Genomic DNA, 21,119 nt, shown 5'->3' on the forward strand with positions numbered 1-21,119 from the left:
GCCGTGGTAGTAGTGAAGAAGACAAAAATAGAGGATCTCTAAGAAGAAAGCCTTTCAACATAGTCAAATGCTATGGAGAAGTTAAAGAGAATAAAGGATTAATAAGATTTCTTTGAATTTGGCTATTTGTCTTTGTGGTTGCTATTATGAAAGCTCCAAGGACATAACCCCTTTTCTCAGAAAACCTTCACTCTAATTGAGGGGCCCAAAATGTCATTGAAAAGTTAAAGTATCTAGAATAGAGTTTATGCCCATGAAATATTTAAGTGACTAAGAAGGTATTCTTCCATCTTTTCCTTTCCACCTTTTCTTTCTTCTCTTCTTTGCTTCCTAGAGACTTGTTTTTTCCCAGATGACAAAAAGTTGCCACGAAAACAGTATGTTAGCTTATGAGTTCCTAATTTAAAATTATTTTTCTTTCTTTGAGTTAGTTCTGACATCACTTACCATGTTAAGTAGTGGGTTTGATTGTATTTCTTAAAAAGATCATTCCAATATAGAAAAGATGATGGACTAGAGGCAAAAGGATAAGATAAGAGATATTCTTGTTTCTGGTCATTCAAGATGGCATCCTGTCTTTCAGGTGCCAAAGGATGAATATGATTCCTTACAGGCAAATTCAAACTCCACTGGGTCAAAAACACAAATACGCAGTTACAGACGAAATCCTTTCCCCAAATTACAAGGCTTAGAACCAGGCAGTCAGCTTAAATCTTAGAAGGACAGAGTTCCTCAAAGGTGATCCCAAGGCTGCCACAGGAAGCAATAATAAAGCTCAACACATGCTCTGGCTTAAACAATTTGCAATTAAGTTCAAAATTCAGAGGTGCTCAGAGTGCAAAGACATTAAACCTCGATATTTATTCTGCAGAACACACAGGAACAACGATGAAAGAAACAAATCCGTTGTGATATTATGAAGTAACTATCCCAATCTCATAAAATCCTCTCAGTCTTCTGTTTTCTGCCATGAGCTTCATTTCACTAAAATACACCCCCAACCACTTTGTGGACATGTTTTACATGTCAACAAAGGAGCAAATAGTAACTAGAGTAGACAAAGAGACATTTATCTCAGACTTACAGATTTATATATAGTGTGGCCAGACATTCTTTTCTGTATTTTGCCCTTTGCACTTGCATTCTTTAGATGGTGTGTCTAACTGCTATGTTGTATGCTCAAGTGCCTCTGAATACCATATATTACCTTCTGTTTAAACCCACATTGTTCTCCCCCTGGTTTTTGGTCATCTCCCCATCCTCTATGACTAGTGTAGTGGTGGGGTTTGCTTTAATTCCAATCGGCTACATACCCTAAATTCCATCCAGAGCATTTATTTGCCTGGCTTTTTGGCATCTTCCCATGTGCATCTGCATTCCTGTAAGGGTAACATCTTCATCCTTTTCCATTTCCCCTCTTTTCCATTTCCTATGGTTTTCTCTGTTTCTGTTCTTTGGCCAACCCTCCCTGCAGCTACATGTGTTTTTGAATCTTCCCTGTGTTTTTAAATTTTCTTGGTATTCTTAGCCTTTGGGCTTTCAGGACTTACTCAAACTCTCTCAACTTTCCTCTGCCGCCTTTCCAATTACTTCTCGGTCTCATTTTGCGTGGCCTACCCATAGCTTCTTTGTAAGTAAAATTTACTTTGTATGCAGTGAAATGCTTTACTAGGGTAGGATTCTGTAACCTCTCCTTGCAACACAAACTTCAAAGTCTTTGAGATGAGTGATTCACATATCCATTTTGCTTCCAGTCTCACTCGCTCAGAGTTCTAGCTTCTCCTCTGCCATTCCTCTATTAGAAAATGTCCCAGGATTGGGAAACATGCTAAGAGTGAGATGGTGCCAATGGCAAATAACTTAGATGTCTTTTCCTAACGTTCTACATGATCTCATCATCCTTCCCCAGAGGATTTTCTAAACCTTGCGCTAGGCACAAACACAATGCCACAAAGATTCACACTGGAAGCTTGTTATTGAAAATTAACCAGGAATTATCCTACAATCCACGTGGTTCTCATTGTCTTCCTATTAGACTTGCTGATCATTAGGCAGTTATGTGAGTCAGTTATTTAGGATTCATCTTCCTTCTCCCCTTTGTGGGCTGGCACATCTTGATGAAGGGCCTCATTTGGAAGGGACAGTCTACACATTTCTATGAGTACAAGATCATATTTATTTTTAGTCCAAAACACAATTTTTAAATGCCACAAAAAGCAGATGTATGGATCATTCTGCCTAATGCTCTGCTTATGATAATGAACTATGGGCATGTTCTAGGATATTCCTACTTTAAAGAGGGACTATAATATAAGAAAATTCATTGTAAGATGCCAATTTGAACTTATGCATTAAATTGCCTTCCCTCCCATATTCCCTCTGAAATGACCAAAATATTAAAATCGGGGAGAAAACATTCACATCAGCCCATGAAAACAGGAAAGTTATACAAATAGTCCAAAAACAGAAATGAAGTTTTTCAAGATATAGCTTAGGTGAACTGGATTTAAATACCAATATAGAATTACGGTTAATATTCTGAGAGGATAATAGTGTTAGTCTTATGCTAGGAAATACATGCTGAAGTATTTAGGAGTGAAGTGTCATGATATCAACATACTCTCAAATAGTTCAGGGTGAAAGAAGATGTATGTAGAGAGAGATAAGCCAAGTAGAGCAAAATGTTGATTTTTGAAACTTGAGTATATGGATGTTTAATATACTACTCATTCTCTTTTCTGTATACTTGAAATTTTTCATAATTAAAATTTGGATAAAAAATTAAAGGAAGTACTGACGTTCCTGTGACCCAATCCATGCCAAAGGAAAGCTACTCTGGCAATACTTAGGCATGATGTATCATGAAAACTATCACTCTCTCTCCCCAAATAAATAAACAAACTCAGGGAGTCTGCAAGTTTGGGGAGGGAAATACCGCAAATATGAAGACCTGGATCAAATGAGAACAGGTAACAAAAAAAATCAGTTTTCCATTATTCTTTTACATATATGTTAAATATGAAAGATAATGAAGCAATGTATATAGAATTTTGAGGATAAGTTAAACATTGAAGTCCACAATTATATAAGCAGCTAATCAAACATACAAGAACTCAGAAAGGAAATTAATCACATAGTCTTTTGACAAATTTATTTGGAAGAATATTTCAGCATGCTAGGAAATAAATCATAAACAGAACTCAAATATAAGTATGCTCCAATATAAGAATTGTGACAGTGGACAATGAAACCAATTTCTATTAATTTACCATTAATGTCGACATAACCAACTTGCAAAAGATTTTGAAACTTAATACAAATGCTAAAAATAATTATTTTAGAAATATTTGTTAATGTAGAAAAGAAGTTAATAAAAATAATCTGGATCTAAAGGGTTCAACATAGTCAAATGCTGTGGAGAAATTAAAGAGAATAAAGGATTAACAAGATTTATTTGAATTTGGATCTAAAGGGTTGGTGGGGTGAAAGCAAGAAGGAAGAAGGAATGAAGATGTGCTACATCATTCATTTTACATGGGGAATCTCATTTCATTCCTGATAGACAAATATGAGTTTATACTCTTTAAATAATTAAGAATAACTGCTGGGAGACTAGAAATAAGTAACTTTCAGACAATATACAGGAGGGGGGCAGGAAAAAGACCAGGGTTCGGTAGAACAATGTTGGGGAAAAGAAAAAGAGAGCAGGAGAGAAAAAAGTTGAAAAAATATATAAAATAAAATGACAGAAATAAGACCAATACGTGTGAATGGGATAAAATCTACTCATATAAGATAAAGACACACTGGATCAACAAATAAAATTCAACTATATACTGTTTACAAGGCACACATTTGAAGCAAAATGATATGAAACAGTTAAAAAAAAAAGAGAGATGAGCAAGGATATGCCAGGGAAATGCAAACAAAACAAGAATAATATTAATGAACAAAACAGCATTGAAGCCAAGAAAAATGATTAAATTAGACAAATTTGTCAAACACAAAAAAGTAAAATCTACAATGAATATGTAAAAGCTAAGTATAGCACTGAAATATTTTTAAAACTATTAAAAATGCAAGAGAAAATTAACAGAATTATTACCATAGTAGAAGATTTCACATTCCATTGGAAGATCAAATAGTCAAAAGTAAATAAGAGTATTTTTTAAATTGAATAATACAATTATAATACCAGAAATTAAAAACAAAATAATAGACAAAAAAAATCAAGATACTTAGAAATTAAAAAGTACCCTTCTAAACTCTTTGGTCAGCAAAATAGTACAAATTCTAAAGAAAATACTATTAGCATCACATCATATTTTCCATGGTTTATGTGATGTTTGGCCAAAGATACACTCAGTAGAAAATCTATAACATAAATATTCTTATTAAGCAATAAATGGTAACAATTAAGCATTAAAAATTAAGATGTAAAAAGCTGATTATTATATAGAACTCTAAGTTATTTAATTTGAAATCTTTTTTAAATTGACTTTTTTTACTAGAAAAAAATAAAATAACAAAATTGACTTAAGAAGTTTCCAACCCTTTTTTTTGGCAGGGGTGGGGACAGAGTCTCACTCTGTTGAGGGAGTAGACTGGAGTGGAGTGCAGTGGCACTATCTCAGCTCATTGCAACCTCCACCTGCCAGGTTGAGGTATTTCTTGTGCCTCAGCCTCCCAAGTAGCTGGGATTACAGGCGTGCACCACCACACCAGCTAATTTTTGTATTTTTAGTAGAGATGAGGTTTTGCCATGTTGCCCAGGCTGGTCTCTAACCCCCAGACTTCAAGGGATCTGCCCGCCTCTGCCTCCCAAAGCACTGGGATTACAGGTGTGAGCCACCATGCCTGGCAATTACTAATATAATAAACTAAAGATATAATAATAAAGTCATCCCCATTAGAATGAGAAACAAGACAGGCATACACCTAATATTTAGCACCACTCTAGAAATGTGTGACAATTAAAATGTACCCAGAAACAAAATAAGAGTATCAATATTGAAAAAGAAGAGGAAATTATCATTATTTCTTGATTATTTGATTGGTTAAACTGGAAAACCTAAGAGAAACAACTGAAAAAAAGCTAGAATCAGTAAGAAAGTTTGTCAGGGTGTCCACTTAAAAAAATAAAATATTTTAAAAGCAATAATTTTCTTATATGCCCTAAATAAGTAGCTAGAATAATGGGAGAAAACCATTCACAATAGGAGTAAAAAGTAATAATAATAATGCTGTGGACCTAATAATCAAGTTAATAAGAAATATGCAGAACAAATATTCATAAAATAAGAAAATTTTAATGAGACATATAAAGACTTGAAAAATGAAAAGATATACTGTTTCTAGATAAAATCACTGCATATTGTAAAGATTTCCTCCAAATTAATCTGTAAACTTAATGTAATTACATTTAAGATCCAATGGGACATTTTTAAGATGAGAAAAGTATTATAAGCATAGAAGATAAACATATAGAAAAACCCAGAATTATTTTAGCAGTATGGAATTGGTCAAGGAAATTATAGCACATCGATACAAAGCAACACATAGCAGTCATTTGAAATGTTTGTGTAGCTCTAAATTTAGGGACATGGAAAGAATATCACGAAATATCAAGTTGAAAAAGCAAATTGCAACTTTGCTTATTTTAGTTTGAGCCCATTTGGATAAATTAAATACATAAACAAAAAAAATAAAGTCTTGAAGATATACATCAAAATATCAAAAGTTATTTTTAAGAAATTACAGGTTTTTAAACTATTTAAAATTTTGCTTATATAATTTTTCTAATTTTTCTACAATTAATATATGTTATTATTCTGATTTAAAACAAAAAGTATGGCCTATTTCTTACACAGGCCCACTACGAGTCCTACACCCTTGAGTTTATCTAAGCCCTTCTTAAATTCTACCATATTTGGACCTATCTCTTAGAATAATATATAAAGCCACACTTTTTCTTTGGTCTTAAAACTACCTTCAGTATGTATTCTTTGCTCTTATTTTTCTGAGTTGTTTTTTACGAGGAAAATATTCTCACCTGATTCATTTCCTTCATGACACTGTAAATTTTTATCCCATCCTACTCCACCTTCATCCTTCCAGATTGAGAGCATTAAGTAGTCAGCCCATCCTCATAAAGAAGCACTCATTTGCTCCATCTCTATTTTTACTACATCATTAAAATGACCACATGGCCAGAACTGTGCAGTACATTCCCAATTTACTTTTCCCTAACTTCCACTGTGTAAGAGTTATTCTCCCAAATGTAAAATACCATCTTCAATACTATTTATAACAATATTCATTGAGTCAAATATGTCTATGGATTACTTCTGCACTGTCCACTGGGAAAGCAGAATCTCTCTTAGGTCAATTTCAATGACAACATCTATAATACTATAGCTTTTTACCTCCCAAATAGACTTAGATTTGTCTAGACTGCACAGATGAATTTACATCCACATTCCCAAGGAAGGCCTTTTGTGAATCAATAAGTGCTATCCTCATGTCATTTTTCTTGCTGTCAAAATGCCACAGTAAAGGAAAAAAGGTCCCAACTCAGCCTGTGTAAATTGTTAGTTTTAGGCTCTTCCCAAATTACCCTGTGTGGCCGTGTACTCACAGAATGTCTGAAATGGTCTGATTAAATGTGCAGCATCACTAGGAAGAAGTGGAAAATCTGCTGTTTAAATTTGGATAAAAGAGACTGGGAATGGGAAGGGAAAAGAGTAAGACCAGGTAGTGGGCAAACATGGAGAGCCGAGGGAAGGAGTAGAGGCCACGATCCGTCTGCTCATCAAGTCAATATAACAGCGCACCTGTATGGAGGAGGTCAGCTACGCAGCAGCGAGCCATTTTGATTATCATTATGAGGCTGCTCACACAGACCATTTATATGTTCACTCTTTTGCGTCCACCATTTATTGTCACACGGAAAGGGAATATTGACATCACACTTACCCTTCATTTCTTCTCACCCGAACTGTCAGAGCCTCCCAGTACAGTTCCATTCCTGTCCACTTCATCTTACACATTGGTGTCAGAGTGATATGTTTAAAGAAAGTTTTTAAGTTGTCACTTTTCTGGTTAAAAAAAAAAAAAAAGAAAAGAAAAAAGAAAGCTGTCTCTTGGTCCCTATTGCTTCCGCCGAAAACCTTTCTGAATAGAGGAAAATCACATCATGTGGAATATGAAGCCCCTCTAAGCCAAGCCCAGCATCTTTTCCAAAATGCACCTTATCCCAGCTCCCAAATTCCTCCCTCCCCAATGAAGCCCTCCCATTTGCTTTTGCTGGCCTTTCCTTCTGTATGGATTCTCTGGCTTCCACTTCTACCTGTCCAAATATCACCCATTTTTAAGATCCTCCACAATTGCACCAGCTGGGGACTACATCATTACCTTCTTCCTACTTTCCTTTCTATTCTCCAAGGACTTTCGATGAATCTCAATAAATCCCTTAGCACAATAAGAAAACAACAAGCACATGAAGAGAACTCACTAAATACTGGGTAGGGTGCTAAGTGTTTGAAATAGGGGATCCTTTGATTGTAAGAAATAGAAACTTTCTGGAAACAAGCAAAAGGGATTTTATTATTAAAACTCAAGGAACCCTGGGCAAAATGTATAATCAGGAAATCAAGGAAGCACTGTCTTCTCTCTCTCTGTTTCTCCCTTTCGCTCCCTTGCTGTCTTCCGGCAGTGCCTCTTCCTTGTTGCTGGACAGTACAGTGGAGACATTGTGAAGACACTCCCTCCCTTCCTCCACCAGCCACTACAAAACCATAGAAATGACTCGACCTCTAATTTATGAATGTTGAGTGGATATTCTTTATATGTGCAGATTATTATGTATAAAAATGATTACTAGCAAAAGAACAAAAGAAGGTTATTTGTATTAGGTAAATATACCCTATTTAATCAAGTCTAAGACACCACTGATTGTGGGATACCTCTCTATTTTAGGTACCATCAAGAAAGAAAAAAAATGCCACCTTTCATAATGGTTAAGAAGCTGTCAGTTGTAAGATATATCCTTATTTTTAGAGATGTTAAAATGTAAAACAATTTCTTTTTACATTTCCCATTTAATTATATTTTACAGGTCTCCCAATTTTTCTCCCCATCAAACGTGCAGATAACCCATCATTCTCCAATTTCTTTTCATCTCTAGCTGTTTTGTCTTGATCAACTAACTGTGTTTTTTTTAATTGATATACAATAGTTGTACATATTTTGGGACACATATCACATTTTGATACAATGTATAATGATCAAGTCAGGGTAACTGGGATATCCATCACCACAAACATTTATTTTTGCTTTGTATTGAGAGCATGACAATTCTTCCCAAATACTAGAACTTACTCCTTCCATTTAACCTTATTTTTGTACTCCTTAACCAACTTCTCTTCACCCCCTTCCACAATGTGATACTTGATGAAATGTTATATGTTGAAAATAAATTTTAAACTTGCCTTTGTGCTGTACCTAAGATCACAAAAGGAGAGGTTGTTTAAACCATTTTCCAAGGAGAAGCCCAAAATGACCAGCTTACTACTGCATAGACCCCCAAAAGGACCCAGCAGGGAGGGGTCCTTCCAGAAGCTATCAGGAACTCATCAACTCAACTCAAAGATGATATCAATGACAGTAAATCAGTAATTAAAAGCCTTTTGGGTCAGACCATATAGACTACCCAGATAACAACTGGAAAGAGCTGGTCATAGGTTTCCCATCCTGAAGCAAAAGAAAAACTCCTCACTGTCTACTCCCTAGCCCTCTGAGCCAACTCAGTTCAGGAGTCCAGATGTTCAGGCAAAGGGTGGCTCTCAACCTCATCACCAAGATGAATATTTTCACTCTGCACTGCTCTCCCTTCCCTAGGGTGACTAATATGGTGGTTCTGGAACAGTGACTACTACTGCCCAGCTCCGCTTCTGCTCCCTGCTTGTACGATGGCCTAAAAGTGGGCTGCTGTCAGGGCCAGTTATTGATCTAAGGTCCAAGAGGACAGCATATAAAACTCTCCACAGAGTCCAACTGTTCCTGAAAATAGTTTATTCTTCCTCAATATTACCTCTAAGATCTGTTCCCACTGTTGAGTGTACCTGTGGCTCCTCCACATCCACTCCTGCATACTACTCTGCCGTGTGAATGCACAAGGCAGTCACCCATCCTCCCATCAATAACATTTGGCTTACTTTCTGTATTTTTCTTCCTCATCAGGAGAGACTCTGCAAGTCATTATAAATGTCTGCAGAGTACGTGAGCAAATGTTTTTCCAGAGCATATACCTAGACATGGAATTGCAAAATCTTAGGCTACCTTCATATTCAGCTTTGCAAGATAATGCCAGATTATTTATCCAGAGTGGTTGTCTTAATTTACATTTCTATAGGAGATATGAGTTCCCATTACTTCAGACTTCACCAACAACTTGAGATAGTCAGAATTCTTAATTTTTTTGTCCATGTAGTGGAATGAAGCAGACAATATAGAGTATATTATTTATAAAGTTCAAAAAACTGCTCAAAAATAAATTTGTTTAGGTGTATCTATACTTGTGATAAGAAATGATAAACACAAAATTCAGGATAGCAATGACCTCTCAAGAGAGGTCAAGGAATGGGGTTATTGTGTTTATACACAGACATGTGTATATATATTGATTTTATTATTTCAAATAATACACAATAAAATAATATTTTTCAATTGCTTTATTCTCTGTTCACATGACACTGAAACAATGGCTGCAGGCACCCTTGAAATTACTTGCTTATAGCCTCATCATCCAAAAGAAAAAAAGTTCTTCCCTTCTAGCTCCAGATAGAAAAAGATAAAATCTCAGAGAAGGAATCTGATTGGCCCAGATTAGATACTGTGTCCATCTCTGAACCAATCACCGTGACCAGAGGTAATAAACACTAACTGACCTATCTTGGGCCCACTTCTGTGGCCAGAGGGATAGAATCTGTAGCCATAAAGTGTGAGGTGGCATGGAGCGGTGTGAAAAGGCAAAGCATGACAAAATCTTATGAAGTGTCAATATCATCACCTTCTAAAGGTCATGGAAATGATAGGTGGCAGGGCTGGATTCAAACCCAGATCTGCATGACTCCAAAGCCTAGGCACTAGTCACTTCAGTTCCAGCTTCTGCTGGATAAAAATATTGAGTTTTCTTTAGTGTTATGCCAGGATTTCCTTAAAGGCTGGATACTGTCTTATTTATCTGTGTCCTTCCACCTGGCACTTTTTAGGTGTCTTGTAGAATTAATTAAATCACCAAACCACAGATTGCTTACTCGAACATATTCTTATATCAGTGTGGATGTGACCATGTCTGAGACCAGCTGTGTGGGTCTTGTGCTCACAAGAGAACAGATGGGGATCTGAAGAGTGGGAAGGGGTGGAACATTTTAATTTCAAGAACATTTTAGCATCACAAAATTCAAAAGAGAAATAGCAATACCAGAAATTTTATACTCAAAGTTGCCTGATAATCAAAAGTGAGCATAATAAGAGTAGCAAGGCAGAGCTAGCATATATTTTTCTTATTGAGAAAATTATGACCTTCCAGATTTGTTATTTCTTGTATGTTTTTTGATAAACTCTTTGGACAAGAAAGTGGGATTTGGTGGGGCCAAAGGAGGAACTTTTTCTTTGACTGCATCATTTCAATTGTTATTTTTAAAAAATGTATTCATGAGATACTTGCAAAATTAAAAATAAAGAAATAAAATAATAAAAAATTTACTGCCTAAATACATATTTTAAGTCTGCTGGCAATAATTACCAGTTTTCTGTCTCTTTCCACTTTGCCCAGCCATGATGTGAAGATATTGTTCAAGAAATGATCTTTATCTTCATCTGTTTTCATTTGGGTAATGTTATTTTCTATCTTTTTTCTTCCATAAAATTACATCTTTTCCTGAGACTTGTCTTTTACATTCGTTGTAAAGCCTAAAATAAGACAAACAATCACAAAAACATTTCTTTAAGTGCATTCTTCTCACCTCTCACTGTTCACTCTGTCTTGCTTTGGAATGCTTCTAGCCTCCTCAGGATTTTGGATGCACATATCTAAAGTTTTTATCTTCATTTTAGTCTTTCAACCCTTTTGTTCTCTTTTCTTTTCTTTGTTCCAGAAAAAATAATGCCTCATTTTAAGTGACTCACCATTGTATTGCTTCCTTGGCTTGCATAGCCATTAAGTTGAACATAGTCTATTAATTTAGAGTTGTGTGTTGTGTTGGTTCAGGCTGCTTCTAATTTTGCTAAAGGATCTGTTATGTGGCTGCAATTAATTTATTTTTAAACATTTTCTTTCTTTCCTTCTGTCCTCTTCTCTGTATTATCCAATCTGATATCTACCAGAGCATTATACTCTAATCCAAATTTTGCCCCATTCCAAACTTCAAATTTTCCTTTTTTTCCCCCTCCCATTAGATTCATTTTGTTTCTAATTATAATCCAACTACCCACAGGCTTGTTTCACCAGAGGCCATAACACTAGTGTTTATTCAAGGGATTTTTGAAGTGAGTTTTATCCTGCATTTACTAGGAAAAAGGAGAGGGGAAGGGAGTATAGAAATAGAAAATAATAATTGTTTCAATCTTGAATTCAAATTTCCCTATTGACTGTGTACACTGCTCGGATTCTCTGAGCCCTTATTTAATCCTACTATTGCTTTGCCTTTATTGACTTGTACATCTAGCAGGCTCAAAATAAGCAACGAAGACCCAAGAACCCTGACTCAAGACTTCTCTTCCTTCCCCTAGTCCTTTTCCCTTACCTCTCATTTAACAAACACTAGGTCCAAATCTACCCTTGTTCTCTGGACAAAAGAAACATTTCCTTTCACCTTCCTCTCCAGTCTAGAAGAGGTAGGCAAAAAGAGAATGGTGTAGCTGGACCCAGGACAATTTTTGACATAACATTACTGTCATGGCCCAAGAGCAAGATCTTAGCATATTTAACTCATGGAAAGCCATGGTGCAGGGAACAGAGGATAGTTATTTTGTGGGGTAAATTAAATCTCCAAACTACAGATTGCTTATTTGAAGACATTCTTTTTTTTTTTTTTTTTTTTTTTTTTGAGACGGAGTCTCGCTCTTTCGCCCAGGCCGGACTGCAGTGGCGCGATCTCGGCTCACTGCAAGCTCTGCCTCCCGGGTTCACGCCATTCTCCTGCCTCAGCCTCCCGAGTAGCTGGGGTTACAGGCACCCGCCACGGCGCCCAGCTAATTTTTTGTATTTTTAGTAGAGACGGGGTTTCACCGTTGAACACATTCTTATATCAACATGGATGTGATCATGTCTGAGACCAGCTGTGTTGGTCTTGTGCTCACACAGAACAGATGAGAATGAGAGCTCCTTCCCTGGAATATCAGAAAGAATGGGACCTTCAGTAGAGTCCATGCTCACCATGGTCCGTCCTCTCAGGGTTACATGCCAGATGTGGGGTTCATGTGACTATAGCCATGGGCAAAATGACTCTGCCTCCAAGATGAGATCGGTAGCCTCAGTTGTAAAGAACTGAGGCACGGTACCTCTACCCTAACTATTAATCCAGTACAGTGCCTTCTCTGCTTCAGGTATCAGACTAAGAGAAAATTTGGGATTAAAATCTCGCACGAACTTTTCTCTCATGTCTTGTGGAGACATAAAAAGGGCCATGGAAAAACAGAAACTTGACATCAGAGAGAAGTTGGGTCCTAATGAAAGGGCTCTGGCCACATAGGCCTGGTGCACTGGGAGAGCCCTGACTGCGACACACATCTGCCTGTCTCGCTGGGCACCAGACGTCAGTGGAGGCTGGAGTAAGCAGATGCACACAGTCTGTCTCCTAGTCACAAAAGTTTCCACCATCACCCCCACCATGATTCACTGACCCAAGTCTGGAAATCCCAAGTACAGGACCAAACCTCACAGAAAAGCATGAAGATGTCCCCAAGCCTTTTCCAGGCAAAGCTAATGCTTCCTGTTGGTTACAACAGATGCCAGTGAGGCCAAGACTTAAGCAACGCATAAAACAGTTCCTCACAGGGAAACATTCCACTCCAGAGTCAGAAACTAAACCTGTAAGCCTAGCCAGCCAAACATTTTGCAACCATGACCATAATGAAGTCAGTTAATTTTCTTTTCAATTTTCTGCTGTTTGAAGGGATGTTGTCACTTTAAATTCTATGCCAGAGGCAGTCTCTAAAGAATTTGGTTCCTGGAACAATGTAGCCAAGGGCTGTAGATGAAGAGCAAGATGGAAAAAGATTCCTTCTGAGAAAGCAGAAAAAATATAAGTAGCAAAATCAGAAAATCCTCCTATGATTACAGCAAGCCAGACACAGGCGTATTTGAATCTCTGTTCTATAGATGCAAAGGAAAATATATGTGCTTCGTGGTAGATTCTAAATTCAGAGATGAGAAACTGAATTAAAGAAATACCAAAGATGATTGATTGTTTTCCTCTCACTGAAAACCATCTCCCTCACAACCAGTTCAGGACATCTTCACATGGATAAAGAAATTAGGATACATAAGAGAAACTACCAGTGAGTTGAAACCAAAATAAGGAGGGGGCGACGGGTTAAGAATAGAAAATGATCTCATTCACTGTTGATGGGAGTGCAAATTGGTACATTTCTGGACAACAGTTTGGTAACATAGTTATCAAAATCCTTCAAAATATATTTCATCTTTGACTTAGTATCCCTACTCCCAGGCATCTGCCCTAAGAAAATCATAAGGAAGGTAAGGAAATATGCATGTCACAGAACTATTTACAATGGTGAATAGTTAGACATCTACATATGCAATAGGAGAATTCACACTATAGAAAATTATGCAGTTATTTAAATTGCCACCTTTTAGATTAGTAGGTAATCTGAGGACATGCTCATGACATGTTAATGGAAAAGAATAGATGCAAAATAAAACAAGTAGAACTATCACAGGTTTTTACATATTTTTGGAAGGAAACACACTATTAATAGTGGCTATCTCTAGGCAGCAGAATCGCAGTTCATATTACCAATTTGCTGCATCAAACCAGTACTACTTTTACAATCACCAAAAACTTATTTTTAAAAGAAAATGTAAAGGTTTATCCTATAAACTTTTAGGGGAGGAAGGGGAAGCAGAATATAAAATTCTACAGAAAAAAAGGCCTGAAAAAATACTTAAAATATTAATGTTTGTTCTTTTTAGGTTATAGGTCACTGTATAACTTTTCACTTTCTTCTTTTTCATATTTTCACATTTTTCTTTAAAGAAAATATATCCCTTTTATACTGAAATAAATTTTTTAAAGAAAAACAATATAATAAACAAGAGCATATAGAGATTCTCATTAAGAAGAACTAAACACCTGAGAAGTACAGAAGGGATTTGTTCTTTTATGGAAAGATATAGTAGGATGAGAAGACCTTTTCATGTTGTTCCAAAAATTGGCTACCAAACCCAAATCTAGAAACAAAGAACCATAATGATACCAGATTTTAAAGAAAGCCAAAAATAAGGTGAGGGGACTGCCCCTTATGAGACAGGCTGAACTTGCTCAGCTACCCCATCAAGCCCTACCACCTCTCTCCAGTTTAAACACACAGACAACTACGAGATATAGGGGTTTTAAGGAGAATCTTTGTAACCATGAGTCATTGATGTAACCTATGGAAGAGCACTAGAGTTTGCAGTTGTGGTGGCCATGAAAATGTGCTCTCAGATCTCCTACTGCAGAGAACACAGCAGCCCAGCTGCTACAGACTGCCATCTACCACAGCACTGGAACCAAGATCATGCTTTCCTTTAGCTGCTCCCAGACCAATGACTGAATGTAGCAGGGACACGAAGTCAGGCTCATTCCTGGCAGCCTTGATGGAACTATCTTAGAACTGCACTGTTGTCTAATACTGTCCTTCTTTTTTCTTCCCTGTCTCCTTCACAGGGGTCAGATCAACATCACAACTGGGTAGTGCTCTCAGCCTCCTCCATCTCCTGCTCCTTCTCCTTCACAAGCATTTTTCCCCCAATAAATCCCTTGCACATCTAATCGCATTTTGGCATCTGTGTCTCTAAAGACCTGGACGAATACAGGAGTACTCCAGTCACTAATATAGAGCCGACTACAACAGAGAGTTTTCTCTGACTGGCAGCAGAAGAGGAAGTCAGATTTGAGCATAACGGGGATGTACACTAAGGGATTTTGCTGCCAGCTTCAATGTTGCAAATGGTTCTGTGGATGGCCTATGAGAAGGCCTTTGGCAATAGACTGTGAGAAGCTTCTAGAAGATGACAACAGCCCCCCACTGACAACCAAGAAACTGGAACCTCAGTCCTACAGCCACAAGGTTGTCCTGCCCACAGCCTGAATGAACTGGGAGGTAGGCTCTTCCAAGATCCTTCGGTAAGCACCCAGTTAGCTGACTCCTTGAGGGTGAGACCCTTAACAGAGAACCCATTTAAGCCCTGCCAGACTTCTGACCTACAGAAACTGTGATGTCAGAAATGAGAATTTTTTTTTTTTTTTTTGAGACGGAGTCTCGCTCTGTCGCCCATGCTGGAGTGCAGTGGCACGATCTCTGCTCACTGCAAGCTCCGCCTCCCGGGTTCACTCCATTCTCCTGCCTCAGCCTCCAGAGTAGCTGGGACTACAGGCGCCCGCCACCACGCCAGCTAATTTCTTTTTGTATTTTTGGTAGAGACGGGGTTTCACCGTGTTAGCCAGGATGGTCTCGATCTCCTGACCTTGTGATCCGCCCGACTCGGCCTCCCAAAGTGCTGGGATTACAGGCGTGAGCCACCGCGCCCGGCCAGAAATGGGTATTGTTTTAAGCTGATAATGTGTAGCAATTTGTAACACAGTAATAGAAAAGTAATACAAGAAGATCTGACAGCATGTATTTGATAACAGTAACTGGAAAAAAGTAAACCACTTGTGCCACCAGCAAGTTAAGAATGCTTAATAAACTGATCACAAAGTTTTATTATTAATCTTGTCTCGTATTGTTAAATGAATACATTCAAGTGTTTCATAAACAAGTTATATCAATTATTGTACAATGCAGTGGCTTAAAGACTCATAGTAATCTCTTTCCTCAGATCATAACTGTTTAGAACCGACCTGATCATTCCCTATTGTGTTATTTTTAAATTACCATGTACATGCTACATACCTAAATTAATGGCATGATATTTAAAGTAATCAGCAATCTCCATACCACTGAATCTAAAATCTCTATCAGTGTCCCATCATGGCTTGCGATATTATATGGCATTGCTCATTGAAGGCATACCCATTCCCATGAGTGGGAAAGCAGGGTTAGTAGCTCCACTGTGATATATAAGGAGCTGAAAAATATTCTTGTCTTACCGCGGATTTCCTAGAAAATCAAGCCTCTGAAGTACAGCTTGTGTGCTAATGCTTTATTAAGGGGTACAGTCTCAAGACAGCAAGAATAAGGGGGAAAGGGAAGGGAGGCAAGAAAGGAGGGAAAACATGTAAGTGTGGTTCATCACTGGGCTGGCCACAGCATCACTAGAAAACACAGCTGGTTCCTTTTTTATGCAGGACATCTCCAGAGAGGCCATGTGCTTCTCATAATAGTCCATTGTGGGAATAGAGGGAACAGAATGTATCTGCCAGGTCTTTCCTGTCTCCTGTCTCTCACTGCTCAAAGAATGCCTGACACTTCTAGAAGTGTGAACGCCCCAACACTTCTGGGTGTGTCTGTGTTACCTGAGCTCTCCAGTCAGCCACTAGGGAAGTCAGATCCCATGCCACTTCCCAACACTTCTGAGCCTAGGTGTGGTCGAAAGGTCCGGGGTGGGGTTGCTACAGTTCTGCCCAGTGAGCATAGTGAAGCCATACAAAAGCAGGCTCCTGGCAGGGCACAGTTGCTCAGACCTCTAATTCCAGCACTTTGGGAGGCCAAGGCAGGTGGATCACTTGAGGTCAGGAGTTCAAGACCAGCCTGGGCAACATGGCAAAACCCCATCTCTACCAAAAATACAAAAATTACCCAGGCATGGTGGTGCATGCCTATAGTCCCAGCTACTTGAGAAGCTGAGGTGGGAGGATCGATTGAACCCGGGAGGCAGAGGTTTCAGTAAGCCGAGATCGCACCACTGCACTCCAGCCTAGGTGACAGGGCGAGACTTCGTCTAAAAAAAAAAAAGTCAGGGTCCTCACCTTGGGGAGGCTGGGACAGCTGACAATGTTAAGAGATGGAAGAAAGGTAGTGGTCAAGGCTTCTCTGCTGAGCAAGTGGTCAGGACCTAGAGGCAGCTGGAGCAAGCAGATCTGGAGAAAAACAGTAACACGGATCACACAGTCCCAAATCTTATGTTGTTTGCATTGCATCATCCTTCCTCTCATACTAGTATCTTGACAACTAGGTAACAGAGAATGGACACATCTCCCCCCACCTCCCTGCCCCACTGCTTCTAAGAAACAACTACTTCTTTGCTTTCATCATCATCCTTAATTTTGGGTTCTTCCATCTGGTTCACATTTCTTCCCAGAAAGCTCTTGATGCCCTTATTTCCAAATCCTTTTCTGTACATGAAGCTATTTCTTTCCCACCAATTTTTGTAATCCATTCTGGAAAACACACCCAAAGCCCTGGGGCTTCTGCCCATTCTGCTTTTCATTATTGCGATTGCAATGTGGTTAGACCAGTAATGTCAAAACCGTGTGTGTGTGCGTGTGCATGTGTGTGTATGTGTTTGCAATGCAGTCTCCTCCAAAGCTGATAAGAGCGGACTTAAACACACACACACAGACACACAGACACACACTTTTCTCCTGGGTAGTGCAGTATTTGGACAGAGATAAGATTACATCTCTTGGAAAGGAGAAAAGGTCTTGGTCTGAGGGATAAGTCTTCCAATTTTAAAATGGGAAATATTTCAAAACTGGTTGCATTAAGCCCTTACGTTCAGGAGACCAAAACCTTACGAAGGGCATGAAAAACTTAAAAATAGTCCATTAATAAAGAAAAGCATTTTTCCCACAGATTAATTGGGCTTTGAGTTCTTTATCCAAGGCCTTCTTTTGACATTTCAGGGATTCTTGTATTTATATTCAAACTCATCAGAAATGGTCTTCAGGTGAACAATTGCTTCTTGTGGTTTTTCTTCCTTCCTCTTGATTAGTTTTTCTCTTCAGACCTTTGGCTGACTGCTTTACTACTGTCACCAGGACTGAAATTCCTACCAGGGTTAAAAGAAAGACCCATGAGTAGCAATGCTGTGTTCTCACATTTTTTCATCCAGAGCAGGAAAAGACCATTTATGGATTGATCTTCAATCAGAGAACCATGTCACCCAATCTCCCTGCTCTGCAACTTGCCACAAGATTGATGGTAAATATAATACATATGAAAATGAAGGAGGAAAATGTATGTAAAGCCTTGGTGGTGGTGCAGGGGCCGGAAACGATGTTATGCAGTACATCATTTCATCGGAATTTCTCATTTTCAGGACATTGACTCTAAAATTACTGCAGTCGTAGTGTTTAATGTTCCTGTATTCAGATTCCAGGGTTTTCAAAAAATGATTTGAAGCCAGAAAAGCAAGGCTGACTTCTTTAGACCCATAATGTAGTGTGACCAGAAAAATTGCAAGGAAATTTGTAAATGCTATAAACACAGACACACACATACAGACACACAAAGATGATGGGGACGGGGGCCAGGGAGACTCACAGTGAGCTTAATACTCTCTCCAATAGAGCATCAAGCAGGTTGCCAATAAAAGAAGGAACACAACGTAATAGTAAACTAATGAAGCTTAAGTTCATGGCCCTGAGAGGGGACCCAGCGATGGCCTAGCAACATGGTCAATATTTTTACAAGTTTTTGTAAAATTTAAGCTATTTTAACCAAAATGCTTAAGATTGCTGTCTCTCCCTACTCCAATTTTCCTTCTGTATTGGGTGACATTAGACAGGCCATGAGAATTCGGGGGATCCAGCTAACAGAAGGTGAGTTGATATTTCATTAGGGTTTAGTGGAAAAGTAGGCTATATTTAGGAGGATCTCAGTCACTTCTGTGTTAGTTACGTGATTGCCAGCGTTCTGGTAGAACACTGGCTTCTAGGAGTGCTCCTCTGGCTCCTGAGCGACACAGAGGTGCAAGGCAAGAGTCCACATCTCAGCATGAATATGAACTTCAGGGCCCAGCACCAGGAGTATGTTAGGAAGTGGAGGAGAAACCAGAAGACAGTCAGAAGCTAATCATCTATGGGAAATCCTTCCAATCATCAGATCCATTGATACAGAGAATTCAAGTTTCACTGATGCCTCAAAAAGACAGAAGTTTTCTCCTCAACAAAGGCTTTTCCAAATTTGACACCAATCCTAAAAATTTATGTGATATTAATCTAACTTAGGACACTGGAAAAAAAATTATTGTAAACTATCAGTAATTTTTTAAAACTTCAATCAACCATGCTAGAACAACTGAGTTATCTCTCTATTTTCTCTATGAAAAACACATTACAAAATTTTTGTCCTATGAAGGGGCAATCAAAGTTTATGAAGCCAAAGAATGTATTTTTAATGTTCGTGATATTTGTCAGCTTTTTCAGATTTGTAATTGGTTGCAACTCTTTTCTCATTCTAAATACATGTTCTTTCATAATTTATTTAGTATTCATGACTGGTTGCATATAATCTCTTATATTTTCTTCTGAAATATGTATTATCTTCTTGTTTACATTTAAATCTTCAGGGCATCTGGGATATATATATATACACATATATTTTTTGAGACAGTCTCTCTCTGTCACCCAGGCTGGAGTGCAGTGGCACAATCTTGGCTCACTGCAACCTTCGCCTCCCAAGTTCAAGCGATTCTCATGTCTCAGCCTCCTGAGTAGCTAGGACAACAGGCCTGTGCCACTGTGTCCAGCCTGGAATTTATATTTGCATATTTTGTGTAGTAGGGTCCATCTTTATTTTCTTCAAGAAAGATAGTTACACTGACACTATTTATTAATTATTTATAATGTTACTGTTTATTAATGAAATATTTAATAACTATATAATTTATTTCCTGCTGCATTGAGGTACCACCTTTATCATAGAGTTTTTCATATATACTGAGATATATTCTTTTATTATAATTTTAACTTTTATTTTAGATTCAGGGGGTACATATACATGTTTGTTATCTGGGTATCTTGTGTGATGCTGAGGTTTGAGGTACAATTGATCCTGTCATCCAGGTACTGAGCATAGTAACCAATAGTTAGTTTTTCAATCCTTGCCCCACTCCCTCTCCCTCCACTCTAGTAATCCTAGAAATGCCATTGAGATATATTCTTGGTTCTATATTCTATTCTACTGATTTGTTTATTCTGTGTCTATACTATCTTGGTTTTTATTACAGTAGTTTTGTTGAATATACTGATATCTAATAAGAAAAGTATCTGTTTTATGGATACTTTTATTATTATTTGGGGGTGTTTACTTTTCTATACGAAATTTGAGATTATTTCATCCACTTAAAATGGCTGAGAGTCTATTGGTGTTATACTAAATGTATGTAATAGTTTGGGGTAATTTGACATTTTTATGATATAATGTCTCCCCTTCTAAGAATGTGGTATGACGTTCTAGTTGTTGAGATTTATTTCAGGTTTCTTCATATAGGTTCCTCACTTTTCTTGCTAAATTTATTTCTCAATATTTCATAGTTTTACGTCATTATCTCGAATTGAATACTTTTCCCACTTTCATTTCCACATTTTATTGATAGTATGAAAAAAGTGCTTATGTTTTTTAAATTATTATTGATCCAATTATCTTTCAAAAATTACATTCTTATACATTTTTATTAGTGTCTCCTGGGTTTTCTGGGAATACTATTATATCATCAGCAAAAAAAGTGATAGTGTCATTTATCTCAATTTCTCTAGCACTGAGCACAGTGTCTAATACTGTTCAGCACACCGTAAATGTTAACAATGAATGAACAAATGAATGAACAAAAAAGTGGATCGGAGATTCTTCACATGGAGCACCAAGTTCCTCACTATTGTAGTTCTCCAATGAATTCTCCATCCTCCTTCTGAATGCCACCATTTCTTTGATTGAAACTGCAGAAG

General features: G+C 37.8%; 1 long non-coding RNA gene across 1 annotated transcript in view; it reads right to left on the reverse strand.

Moving 5' to 3' along the window:
* LOC105379013 (uncharacterized) overlaps positions 1 to 11,125 on the reverse strand; it is a 406,546-nt gene extending 395,421 nt beyond the window's left edge. The window contains exons 1-2 of the long non-coding RNA XR_007058804.1: positions 10,808 to 11,125; positions 6,976 to 7,097 (exon numbers count right to left, since the gene is read on the reverse strand). This is a non-coding gene — a long non-coding RNA (uncharacterized LOC105379013). The remainder of the gene's footprint in view (positions 1 to 6,975; positions 7,098 to 10,807) is intronic.
* Positions 11,126 to 21,119: the final 9,994 nt, after the last annotated feature.

Source organism: Homo sapiens, chromosome 5 (assembly GCF_000001405.40).
Source record: "Homo sapiens chromosome 5, GRCh38.p14 Primary Assembly".
Classification (NCBI taxonomy): domain Eukaryota; kingdom Metazoa; phylum Chordata; class Mammalia; order Primates; family Hominidae; genus Homo; species Homo sapiens.